We start from the raw sequence: 13,576 nt of genomic DNA on the forward strand, positions 1-13,576 counted from the left end.
GCAAGTGTACCCAGCCTTCCTTTTATTCAAGAGGTTCTGGGACAGTGAACTTACCCAGATTAATCAATTTCACGGGGTATGCCATATTTTAGGAATAACTTTTTGGACAATTTGTCCGCACGTCTATTTCCTTAAACTTGCCATTTTATGTCCTTGCACAGTTATTATGTTACAATATATTCTCCACCATCAAATTTTCACACTTCCAGGATTCAATAAAAAAGCTTAGCAATGCCTGTGAGGCATGAAGATTACCTTCTGAATCATCAAAGAGAGATGTTTTTTTCTTTCTTTTTTTTGAAATGGAGTCTCACTCTGTCACCCAAGCTGGAGTGCAGTGGCCTATCTTGGCTCACTGCAACCTCCGCCTCCCGGGTTCAAGTGATTCTCCTGCCTTAGCCTCTGGGAGCAGCTGGGATTACAGGCACGCTGCACTATGCCTGGCTTTTTTTTTTTTTTTTTTTTTTATTTTTAGTAGGGATAGGGTTTCATCATGTTGGCCAGGCTGGTCTGGAACTCCTGACCTCAAGTTGTCCACCCCCCTCTGCCTCCCAAAGTGATGGGATTATAGGTGTGCCCAGCCTGAATCATCATAGACAGATTTGATTAGGAACCATTGCTATATCCTAAATCTCTTTGGTCTATGATTCTTTCTCATTTTTACTTCAACTTTTTTTTTTTTTCCCAGACAGGCTGTTGCTCTGTCCCCCAGTCTGGAGTGCAGTGGTGTGATCATGGCTCACTGCAGCCTCAATCTTCTGGGCTCAAGCCATCCTCCCACCTCAGCCTCCTGAGTAGCTGGGGCCACAGGCATGCACCACCACACCTAGCTAATTTTTAAAATTATTTCTAGAGTGAAGGTCTCACTGTGTTGCCCAGGCTTCCACTTTGAACTCCTGGGCTCAAGCAGTCCTCCTGACTTGGCCTCCCAAAGTGTTAGGATTACAGGCATGAGACACTGCACCTGGCCTTTCTTCAACTTTGTATACTGAAACATAGCATACAGAGTGCAGGACAGTTCTCCTGGTGGCCTTGGACCAACCCAGCTCTTCCCCCTTTCTTGCTTGTAGTTCTCAAAATAACTGTAGAATGTGCTGGGAATGTAACATCCTGTGATAAGGAGGGATTGGCTGCAACTGCCTGCGCTCTGTTCCAGTCCTTGTCAGAAACAGGATGTCCTGTCTGGGCTCGGTGGCTCACGCCTGTAATCCCAGCACTTTGGGAGGCTGAGGTGGGTGGATCACCTGAGGTCAGGAGTTCAAGACCAACCTGGCCAACATGGTGAAACCCCGTCTCTACTAAAATACAAAAAATTAGCCTGGTGTGATGTTGGACGCCTGTAATCCCAGCTACTTGGGAGGCCAGGCAGGGAAATCGCTTGAACCTGGGAGGCGGAGGTTGCAGTGATCCGAGATCGTGCCACTGCACTCCAGTCTTGACCACAGAACGAGACTCCGTCTCAAGAAAAAAAAAAAAAAAAGAAACAGGATGTCCTTCAACACTTTAGTCCAGTGAATCATGTATCTCCGGGGTATAAAGCCCAGGTGGGCTGCTTCTTGGGAGCCCTCAGCTGCAGTGCAAGTGGGGCATGCACAGTTGAGACTCCATCTGCCCCAGGCTGCTTTCCTGAGCCTTAGGTGACCAGCTCACAATGAACCCTAGGCTTCTGTTATCCCTTGGTGCCTATCTGTAAGTAATAGATCCTCTTCATGTAACTTGTTGCATATGTGGGTGTTTTGTCTCACTGGACTCAGACAAGTTGGTAACTAAGTGCACAGTGAACCTGCTTCATGGAGATAATTACTCAAAATATAAATGTGTGATGAATTATCAGAGTGAACAGCTTTGTGCCATGAGGCAGGTAAAGAAATGAGACATGGCCAGCACTACCAAAGCCCCTTTCATGAAACATAAGTTCCTCCCACTTTCAAAAGGACTTGACTTCTAACACTATCATTTTTAATTTGTTTGCCTATCACGAACTTTCCATATTTGGAATCTCACAGAATGTGTTCTTTGAAGCTTGGCTTCTTTTGTGAAGCATTATATTCATGAGATGCATTATGTCGTTGTGTGAGGTAGTAGCTCATGCATTTTTATATATAATACATTTTTCTTATCTGATCTTTTTTTTAATTTTAATTTTAATTTTTTTTTTTTTTTTTTTTGAGACGGAGTTTCGCTCTTGTTGCCAAGGCTGGATTGCAACGGCCTGATCTTGGCTTACTGCAACCTCTGCCTCCTGGTTTCACGCGATTCTCCTGCCTCAGCCTCCTGAGTAGCTGGGAATACAGGCACCTGCCACCATGCCCGGCTAATTTTTTTGTATTTTGAGTAGAGACAGGGTTTCCCCATGTTGGCCAGGCTGGTCTTGAGCTCCTGGCCTCAAGTGATCCGCCCGCCTCGGCCTTCCAAAGTGCTGGGATTACAAGCATGAGCCACCATGCCCAGCCTTATTTGCTCTTTTTTTGATGGACATTTGGGGTGTTGTTATTCTTGTTGTTTTTTTTTGAGACGGAGTTTCGCTCTTTCTCCCAGGCTGCTGTGAATTTGCGCGATCTTGGCTCACTGCAATCTCCGCCTCCTGGTTTCATGCAATTCTCCTGCCTCAGCCTCCCGAGTAGCTGGGATTATAGGCACACACCACCATGCCCAGCTAATTTTTGTATTTTTAGTAGAGATGGGGTTTCGCCATGTTGGCCAGGCTGGTCTTGAACTCCTGATCTTAGGTGATCCACCCACCTTGGCCTCCCAAAGTGCTGGGATTACAGGCATGAGCCACCGCGACATTTGGGTTGTTTCTAGTTTGTGGCTATTATGAATAAATATTGCAATGAGCATGCTTGTCACATGGTGCACATGTGAACACATTTTGATTGGTATGTGCCTGGAGGTGGAACTGATGGCTCATAAAGTCACATCAACTTCAGGTGATAATATGAACCAGCTTCCCAAAGTGGTTGTACCAATGGACATACCCTCCAGCAGGTATAAAACTGTCTGGACTCTGTTCTAGTCCCCTTCAGAAACAGGATGTCCTTCAATACATTAGTCCAGTGAGTCATGTGGCTCTGGGATGTAAAACTTACCTGGGATATAAGAATTGTGAGCTGGTCATCCAAGGCTCAGGAAAGCTGCCTGGGGCACATGGAGCAGGTATGAGACTTCCAGTTGTTCCCCATCCTTTCTTGGAATGTCCTTGTCTGATTTTAGTATCAAGGTTTTTCTGGCCTCATAAAATGAATTTGGAAGTGTTTGCTCTTTTTTTAGTCTTTGTAAGAGTTTGTTTAAAATTGGTGTTCCTCCCGGGAGGCAGAGGTTGCAGTGAGCTGAGATCACGCCATTGCACTCCAGCCTGGGTGAGAAGAGCAAAACTCCGTCTCAAATAAATAAAAATAAAAATAAAAATAAAATAAAATAAAATAAAATTGGTGTTCTTGCATCCTTAGATGTGTGTATGGCATTCACAGGTAAAGCCATTTAGTCTTGGAAGATTTTTTAAGTTGCAGATTTAATTTATTTATTATAGGATTATTCATATTTTCTTTTCTTTCTTTTTTTTTTCCTGTTTCACAGGAAACAACTTTTGGCTTCATGATCCTCTCTTTTGTAAGTATATTCTTAATTTTATTAACTTCTGTTCTTATCTTTATTATTTTCTTTTTTCTACTTTGTTTAGGCTTAATGTACTGTTCTTTTTCTTTCTGAGGTGGGTGCTTCTTAATTTTGGCTTTCCTCCTTTCTAACATGTGCCTTTAAAGCTATGAATTTTCCTTTAATCATGGCCTTGACTTCCTCTCATAAGTTTTAATGTCTGCAGAATCTGTAGTGATGTCCTGTTTCAGTCTTGATATTGGTAATTTGGGCCTTCTCTTTCCTTTTGTTCACCTTACTAGAGGTTCATTACTTTTATGATTTTTTTTTTCAAAGAACCAGCTTTTTGTTTCACTTACTTTTCTCCAGTTTTCCTGTTTTCCATGTCATTGATTTCTACTATTATCTTTAGTATTTCCTGCCTTCTGTTTGCTTTGAGTTTAATTTGCTCTTCTATTTTCTAGTTTTGAAGCAGTGTCGTTGTCTGGGTAAATACCTGAGGTTTGTTGTCTCACAACAAGGAAAATTGAGTATGTGGACACACAGGAAGTGGGTTTAGGAGCTGAGGTTTAATAGGCAAAAGAAAGAGAAAGGAGACTAGAATAGCACTCTCTCCTGCCAGAGAGAGGGGCTCCTGAGTGGGACTTCCAGCCTGCAGCAAAGTGCTCTGGATTTTATAGGCTGGCTTGAGGAGGCGCTGTCTGATTTATAGGGGTCAAAGATTGGTTGGACCAGGTTTGACGTCTACATAGCATGCGAGGAAGCTGGCGACCCCATCCTAATCTTCTATTATGCAAATGGAGTTGTTACTTGGCCGGTGCCATGTTGTCTTCTCCTCACTGTACACGTGGTTGGCAAAGAAAAGGAAGATGGAGCCGCCATGTTGAACATGCCTAGCCCCCAGGTAGCCCCTTTCCTATTGGCACAGCTGCCAGCATGCACTCGTGCACATTTTTATGTCTGCAGCTCGACTTTACAGGCTGTTATTTGTTAGAAAAGAGAATGATTGACCGGGTGCGGTGGCTCACAACTGTAATCCCAGCACTTTGGGAGGCCGAGGCTGGTGCATCACCTGAGGTCAGGAGTTCGAGACTAGCCTGACCAACATGACGAAACTCTGTCTGTATTAAAAATATAAAATTAGCCTGGCGTGGTGGTGGGCGCCTGTAATTCCAGCTACTTGGGAGGGTGAGGCAGGAGAATCGCTTGAATCTGGGAGGCAGAGGTTGCAGTGAGCCGAGATCGCGCCATTGCACTCCAGCCTGGGCAACAAGAGTGAAACTCCGTTTCAAGAAAAAAAAGGAATGATTTGGGGGCTGCTTTGTATTAAAAGGGAAACCTTACCGAGGACTTCCTTACCTTTACTATCTGCTAAATTAATTCCTTTTTAAACTCCTATATCAGTTTCACAGATGTGAGGTCAGATTATTGATTTGGGACATTTCTTCTTTTCTGATGTAAGCATTTAGTGTCCTAAATTTCCCTCTCACCACTGTTTAAGCTGCATCCCACAAATTTAGATGTGTTTTCATTTTCACTCAGTTGAATAAATGTTTTGATTTCTCTTGAGACTTCTCTGCGACTCAAGGATTATTTAGAAGTGTGTTTTTTAGTTTCCTAGTTTTTGGAGATTTTCTCGTGACCTTTCTGATTGATTTCTAGTTCGATTCCACAGGGGTTGGGGAACACACTTGGCATGATTTCAATTCCTTTAAATTCGTTCAGGTTTGTTTTATGGCCCAGGATATGGTATATGATTATGAAAGGAAAATAAAAACTCGGGACCCCAATTCACCAGGCCAAAAGAAAAAAATTAAGCTGAGAGCCGAATCACGCAAGAAGCTGCCTTTCATTTTGTTCCTAAGCAGACAGCTACAGATAACAGGTTAAATTATCTCCAAAGGTAGCTACTCCGTGTTCCCCTTACCTTAACGATTTGCTGAGCCTGAGACGAATACGTCTTGACTCTTTCTCTACTTGCTCCTTTTCTCTTGCAACATGTGGAGGACTGTTCCTCTCCAGCCCACTTTTCCCCTTTAAATACTGATGCCCTTAAATTCATCTTTAGAGAAAGGCACAGACCACAGACTGTTTCTGTGATTCTGAGTTTACTTCTTCTGGGCATGTCCTTAACCTTGGCAAAATAAACTTCTAAATTGATCGATGCCTGCCTCAGCAACTTTTTGGTTTACGTGATCTTGGTACACAAGCCACAGGTGCTTGAAAAGAATAATATGTCTTCTGTTTTTGCTGGGTGGAGTGTTTTATAGATGTTGATTAGATACTGTTGACTGATGATGGTGTTGAATTCTTCTATATCCTTGCTGATTTTCAGTTTAGTTCTATCAGTTGTTGAGAGAATAGTGTTGAAGTCTCCAGCTCTAACTGTGTATTTGTTTATTTTTGTCTTTCGGTTCTGTTTCTTATATTAATAAACTTTATTTTTAAAACAGTTTTAAACTTAAAGAAGCAAGAAGATAGTCTCCCATCCCCCCAATTTCCCTTATTATGCACATTTTACATTAGTATAATACATTTGTCATAATTAATGAACCAATACTGATACCTTATTATTAACTAAACTCCATCATTTATGCAGCTTTCCTCATATTTTCCCTAATGTCCTTTTTCTCTTCTAGAATACCACATTATATTTAGTTGTCTTGTCTCCTTAGGTTCTGTGGTATAATAGGAAATATACACAGTATTTTGTCTTTGTCCCTGGTTCCTGTCACAGAGCTCCTAAAACGCTTGGGATTTCCTGAATGATTGCAGTGTCCTGTGTTATTCATCATAAGCCCCTTTTGATCATACCTGAGTTAATGCTAATGAGGTGACTTAGGGTTGGTCCCCTAGATAACCTCAGAATGGGGACAGTCACCAGAAAGGCCAAGTAATTAGAGCATTAGAGGGTTGGAATTTTTATCCCCCCCCACGAATTTTTGGGAAGCAGGGTGGCTAGAGATTAAGCTCTATTACAACTCTTGGGTTGGGCATGGTGGCTTGCGTCTGTAATCCCAGCACTTTGGCAGGCTCAGGTTAGAGGACTGCTTGAATCCAAGAGTTTGAGGCCAGCCTGGGCAATATAACAAGACCCCCATGTTTATAAAAAATTAGCTGGGCATAGTGGTATGTGCCTGTAGTCCCTGCTACCCAGGAGGCTGAAGCTGAGGTGGGAGGATCACTGAGCCTGGGAGGTCGAGGATGCAGTGAGCCATGTTGGTGCCATTATACTCCAACCTGGGTGACGGAGTTAGACCATGGTCTCAAAACAAAAACCAAAAAACCCCCTCTTGAACAACAAGCTCTCATGAGCTTCTGGGTTGCTGAACATGTGGAGGTGCTGGGAGAGTGGCACACCCAGAGGAGGCGTGGAAGCTCCGCGTCCACCCACACCTTGCCCTGTCCATCCATCTCTTTATCTGGCTGTTCATCTGTATCCTTTATAATAAACTGATAAACTTAAGTAAAGTGTTTCCCTGAGTCCTGTGTGCCATTTTAAGAAATTATTGAGGCTAGGTGCGGTGGCTCACACCTGTAATCCCAGCACTTTGGGAGGCTGAGGCGGGCGGATCACCTGAGGTCAGGAGTTTAAGACCAGCCTGGTCAACATGGTGAAACCCTGTCTCTACTAAAAATACAAAAATTAGCTGGGTGTGGTGGCACATGCCTGTAGTCTCAGCTACTCTGAAGGCTGAGTCAGGAGAATCGCTTGAACCTGGGAGGCAGAGGTTGCAGTGAGCCGAGATGGCACCACTGCATTCTTGCCTGGGCGACAGAGCGAGATTCCATCTCAAAAAAAAAAAAAAAAAAAAAAGTATTGAACCTGAGGCATGAGGTTGTGGGAACCCTGATTTATAGCCAGTCAGTCAGAAACATGGGTCTCAGCCTGGGACTTGCAATTGGCGTCTGAAGTGGAGGCATCTTGCGGGACTGAGCCCTTGACCTGTAGGATCTGACACCATCTCAGGTAGGTAGTGCCAGAGTGGAACTGAATTACAGACACCAGTTGGTGTCTGCTGAAGAATTGCTTGATGTGGAGGGAAGCCCACCATATCTGATCACAGAAGTGTTGAATGTGAGTAGAGAGAAAAAACAAACTGTTTTTGTTTTTCTTGGCTATGACCTTTTTAAGGCTTTCCTTGTTTTTGATGACCTTGAAATTTTTAAGGAGTAGTAGTCAGGTATACTATAGGATCTCCCTCTACTGGATTTTTTTCTGATTTTTTTTTTTTTTTTTTTTTGAGACGGAGTTTCACTCTTCTTGCCCAGGCTGGAGTGCAATGGCACGATCTCGGCTCATTGCAACCTCCGCCTCCCAGGTTCAAACAATTCTCCTGCTTCAGCCTCCCAAATAGCTGAGATTACAGGCATGCGCCACCATGCCTGGATAATTTTGTATTTTTAGTAGAGATGAGGTTTCACCACGTTGGCCAGGCTGGTCTTGAACTCTTGACCTCAGGTGATCCACTCACCTTGGCCTCCCAAAGTGCTGGCATTACAGGTGTGAGCCACTGTGCCCCACCTTTTCTGTGTTTTTCTCATAATTAGACTTGGGTAATGAGGTTTTTTGGAAGGAAGGTCACAGAGGTAAAGTGCCATTTTCATCTTATATCAAGGATGCATACTATTGATGTGATTCATGACTGTTGATGTTGAACTTGATCAACTGGCTAAAGTAGTGTTTATCAGGTTTCTCCCCTGTAAAGTTATTCTTTTTTCCTTCCTTTCCATACTATACTCAGTGGATACTTATATGAAGTATGGTCACACAACGAACCTCTGCCTCCCAGGTTCAAGCGATTCTCCTGCTTCAGCCTCCCAAGCAGCTGGGATTACAAGTGTGTGCCGCCACACCTGGCTAATTTTTGTATTTTTAGTGGAGATAAGGTTTGGCCATGTAGGCCAGGCTGGTCTCAAACTGCTGACCTCAAGTGATCCGCCTGCCTCGTCCTCTGAAAGTGCTGGGATTATAGGCGTGAGCCACCATGCCCAGCCTTAAAGTTTCTGTTTTTCCCCCAAGGAATGTTTTTAAGCCTATTTGTGTCAGTAAATATTAATTTTAAAAAACTTGCATTTTCCAGCAATTATACTATTGTCTTTCATTTAATAAACATTTTTTGTAACCCTATTATAGATGTAAACTCCTCAGGGATGTAAGACACAACCTAAAATCAGTGTGAGCCACCTAAGACGCATGGTGACACTCTCAAATTACCTTGGGAAGAGGTTTACCTATTTACATGCCCACCGCTAGGGTATGAGAGCACCGGCATCTGTACAACTTTGCCATTCCTCAGTGTAATAAAAAACCGTTGTTTTTTTGGCCGGGTGCTGTGGCTCACACCTGAAATCCCAGCACTTCGGGAGGCCAAGGCGGGCGGATCACGAGGTCAGGAGTTCGAGACCAGCCTGGCCAACATGGTGAAACACCGTCACTACTAGAAATACGACAAAATAGCTGGGTGTGGTGGCGTGCACCTGTAGTCCCAGCTACTTGGGAGACTGAGGCAGGAGAATCGCTTGAACCCAGGAGGCGGAGGTTGCAGTGAGCCGAGATCGTGCCTCTGCACTCCAGCCTGGGTGACAGAACGAGACTCCATGTCAAAAAAAAAAAAAAAAAAGAGATTCAGAGACTCAGAAATGTGATGTCCAGACTGCCTGCCAGAAGTGTATCCACCCTCAGAATATGAATCCTGCCCTCCCAGTTATACCTTGCTTATCTACATGGGGAAGTTATCCCAGATATTATATCAACTGTCCCTGCCTGTGGTCCACCTTAATTTAGGAACCCTTGCTGGCTGAAAGGAGGCCAACACTCATCAGTTGTAGAGTCCAGGTCCCTTAGGATATTCCTGGGCTGGTCATGAGTTGCACCCTGGGGTCTCCTGGTTGGTGGCTAGAGAAGGGTAGAAGGAAATTTTGCCAGAAGAGCCAGTCCTCTTGTGATGCACTGGAAAATTTTTGGCAAATATTCAGTCACTTTCCTCTCCTTGGAGCAGAGTATATTTCCCTGCCCCATTGGCTTTGGGCTTGGCCATATGACTTGCTTTGGCCAGTGAAATGTGGATAGATGATGTGTTAGGAACAGAAGCTCTAAAGCTTCACGTATTTGTCATTAATCATGGGAAGAATATGCCCCAGACAGCGGATGGTTCAAGGAGAATACAGAGAAAAGGGGAATGGATTTGAGCCATAAAAGCCTAGAACCAACACTAGAATCTGCAGACAGAGACCTAAGCAAGAAAAATAAATGCTTGCTATTGTAACCTGTGAATTAAGGGGTGGCTTGTTTTGTAGCATTACTGTGGCTATAGCTGACTAATACACCTTTCTTTAGGGGAGTCATCCAGGCCAAGAGGGAGCTTTCTGGGCACTGGTGATGATATGTGCCGTGGATCCACAGAATGGGAAGCTACCCTTACTGCGACTCAGGTCCAGCAAAGGGGCCTGGCAGGAATAGGTCAAGGGCTTCAGGGCCCTGGGGAGGATGCATTTCATGGCTTGATTCCAGCCCAAGGGGCTGTAGGGAATAGAAGCCAGTGGGCATTCTTTTAGTTCTAATCTATGAGATTGAGGAAAGATCTTCTGTTCCCACTGCCCAATTCTTGGCTGATGAGGAAGAATTTTATTCTAAATATTCAGAGCTAGCTGGGAGCGGTAGCACGCACCTGTAGTCCCAGCTACTCAGGAGGCTGAAGCAAGAGGATGGCTTGAACCCAGGAGTCCAGCCTGGCAACATAGTGAGACACTGTCTCTAAAAAAATAGATACATAAAAAAATTAAAAATAATTCAGAGCTGCTGGCTACTTCTCTTCCATCAGATGAAGACCTGAAAAACTGTGGTGTCTTACCCTGCTCTCAAGATCCCTTCTGATTCCCAACCCACAAACTGGTACAGTCCAGTGGGCATGAAGTGTTCACTGGATGTAGAAAGTTCCTGAAAGGGGCTGGGTTTGGTGGCTCACACCTGCTATCCCAGCACCTTGGGAGGCTGAGATGAGAGGATCACTTGAGGCCAGGAGTTCAAGACCAGCCTGGGAAACATAGTGAGGCCCTGTCTCTACAAAAATTTAAAAATGAGCAGGGCATGGTGGCATGCACCTGTAGTCCCAGCTACTGGGGAGCCTGAGGTGAGAGAATCGCTTGAGCCCAGGAGTTCAAGGCTGCTGTGAGCTATGATCACACCACTGCACTCTAGCTTGGGCAACAGAGCAAGACCCTATCTCCCACAAACAAATAAACAACAAAAAAGAAAGTTCCTGAAGGGGATCAGGAGAATGGAGGATCACGACTGTGTCCTCAGCTACTCAGAAAGCAATGTGTGGGCAGCAGGACAGTGGCTGGAGGTTTGATGATTGGATGGACTCTTCTTGGAGTTAAGGGTGGGGTATATGCATTGGAGAGGGCTGAGCCTTTTCCTTCCCCACCTCTGGCCAGGGGTGCCTTTGATGCACAGGGTAACACTCTGGCAAGAGCTCTGAGTCTTTTAATTCAGCTTTGTTAACTCTGGAGTCCCAACTGTTTGCAGATGGCTGGCTGATATCCTCATTTTTAAAGACCTGCTTTGAATTTTTATCCTCTTTTCAGCTCTTCATTGGTATTTTAAGGGGAGAGGTCTTATAAAGGACTTCAATACCAAGTTGAGTTGGTCGTGTCTGTGTTTGATTAAAAAAAAATTGGCTGGGTGCAGTGCCTCACGCCTGTAATCCCAGTACTTTGGGAGGCCTAGGCAGGTGGATCACCTGAGTTTGGGAGTTTGAGACCAGCCTGACCAACATGTAGAAACCCCGTTTCTACTAAAAATACAAAAAAATTAGCTGAGCGTGGTGGCAGGCACTTGTAATCCCAGCTACCTGGGAGCCTGAGGCAGGGGAATCGCTTGAACCCAGGAGGCGGAGGTTGTGGCGAGATCATGCCATTGCACTCCAGCCTGGGTAACAAGAGCGAAACTCCGTCTCAGAAAAAAAAAAAAAAAAAAAAGAAATGTCCTGAGGGCTCCTAATAAGGCAGGCAGTTCTAGAGGGTAGCTTGGGAAGGGGATGCTAAGTATGGGTTGAGTGCGTGGGAATGCTAGCGTAGCTCCAAAATCTTCATCTCCAGAATCTCTCCACCTGTTCTCTTCACTCCCACCCCCATTCCTCTGGCAAAGCCGCCATCATCTCTTGCGTGGACTGTTGCAGTTGCCACAGTAAATGGCATCCTTGCTAATTTTTGACACTGCCAGTTATCCTCTTATGGCAGGACTTTTGCACTTGCTGTCTCCTCTGCCTTGGATGCTCTCCTCAGGGATCTGTGTGGCTCACTCCCTTACCGTCTTCACACATCACCTAGCTGAGAACTTCCCTGAGTGTTGGGTCTAAAAGTGCAATTTCCCCATCCCCAACATTTCCTGTTATATTTCTTTTGCTTATCACCATCTCACCTGCCATATATGTTGTTTATTACCTATCACCCTGTTCTAGAACAAGAACTCCATGGTGGCAGGTTTCTTTTCTTTTACACACTGCTGTATCCCCATCTACTGCGCAGATAGTAGGTGTTCAGTAAATACTACCAAATGCATGCATTTGATGACCTCACCTGGCCATTTGTTGATGGTTGGAGAGTACTGGCTGGTTGAAGGGTGTCAGAGGGCCCCTATGCCCCACGTGTGAAGGTGCAGTTCATAGCTGGAGTCAGGGGGACACCGACTACCTAACCTGTATGAAGCCCATGTGGTAGGCATTGTAGGCTTGTCCACTAGGGTGACTGTAAGATGCCCCTTAAGAGCTTGGAAAGAAAAGTTCTTAAGATTGTCTTCTGAGAGTTCTACTCTGAAATGGACCCGCAATGGAGGAGATTAGAGACAAGCAATGTGAACTTAAAGGCACAGAGCAAAATTAAAGGCTGTGAATGAAGCATGAGTCAGATGGGAGGATGGAGAGGGGATGTATTGGAAACAGAGGCAGGAGGCACCAGGAGGTGGAACCCTGGCCCAGGGATCAAGTCCTGTGCTTGGTACACTAAATAAATAACTGTTCACTAACTCCTCAGCTTTGCCTGTGAGCTCATGAAGCAGCTTTCAGACCATGGACTGACTTCCCATCAAGCTCATTTATTGTCATAAATACATTGGCTTGTTGATGGTTAAGTTATATATCCCACTAAAAATTAGCATATTGGCCTTGGGCTTACAAACTTTACTTCCTAGTGAGTTAGGAAGTCCATATCAGCTTATATGAGACTGGTCACCAGATCCGCTTTCTGGACCTGTAATACTGAAGAATAGATAAATGACTGGCTGGGGGCAAGTTCACTGAGCAAATAATACTGCAGTCTTCTGGGATGCGGCTAGCCAGGGATTTCCTGGTGTCCCCCTTTCCTTTTCACAGCTGTCTTTCTTTCTTTTTCTTTCTTTCTTTTTTTTTTTTTTTTTTTGAGACTGAGTCTCGCTCTGTTGCCCAAGCTGGAGTGCAGTGCCACGATCTCTGCTCACTGCAACCTCCACCTCCTGGGTTCAAGCGATTCTCCTGTCTCGCCCTCCTGAGTAGCTGGGACTATAGGCGCATGCCACCACACCTGGCTGATTTTTTTTATTTTTAGTAGAGACGAGGTTTCACCATGTTAGCCAGGATGCTCTTGATCTCTTGACCTTGTGATCCACCCGCCTCGGCCTCCCAAAGTGCTGGGATTACAGGCGTGAGCCACTGCGCCTGGCTAGCTGTCTTTCAAAATCCTAAACATTTGGCCAGGGCTGTGGCTCATGCCTGTAATCTCAGCACTTTGGGAGGACGAGGCAGGTGGATCACCTGAGGTCAGGAGTTTGAGACCAGCCTGGCCAACATGGCGAAACCCTGTCTCTATTAAAAATACAAAATTAGCCAGGTATGGTGGCATGTGCCTATAGGCCCAGCTACCTGGGAGGCTGAGGCAGGAGAATTTCTTGAACCCTAGAGGGGGAGGTTGCAGTGAGCCGAGATTGGGCCACTGCACTTCAGTC

The 13,576-nt window shown here is 45.0% G+C and overlaps 1 annotated feature.

Annotated features, from left to right (window-relative positions):
- Positions 984–1,184: a silencer, noted in NCBI's record as "peak4129 fragment used in MPRA reporter construct". NCBI's record gives its function as "represses an SCP1 promoter by STARR-seq MPRAs in K562 erythroleukemia cells {active_cell/tissue: K562}" and the evidence as "EXISTENCE:reporter gene assay evidence [ECO:0000049][PMID:32103011]".

Source organism: Homo sapiens, chromosome 20 (genome assembly GCF_000001405.40).
Source record: "Homo sapiens chromosome 20, GRCh38.p14 Primary Assembly".
NCBI lineage: Eukaryota > Metazoa > Chordata > Mammalia > Primates > Hominidae > Homo > Homo sapiens.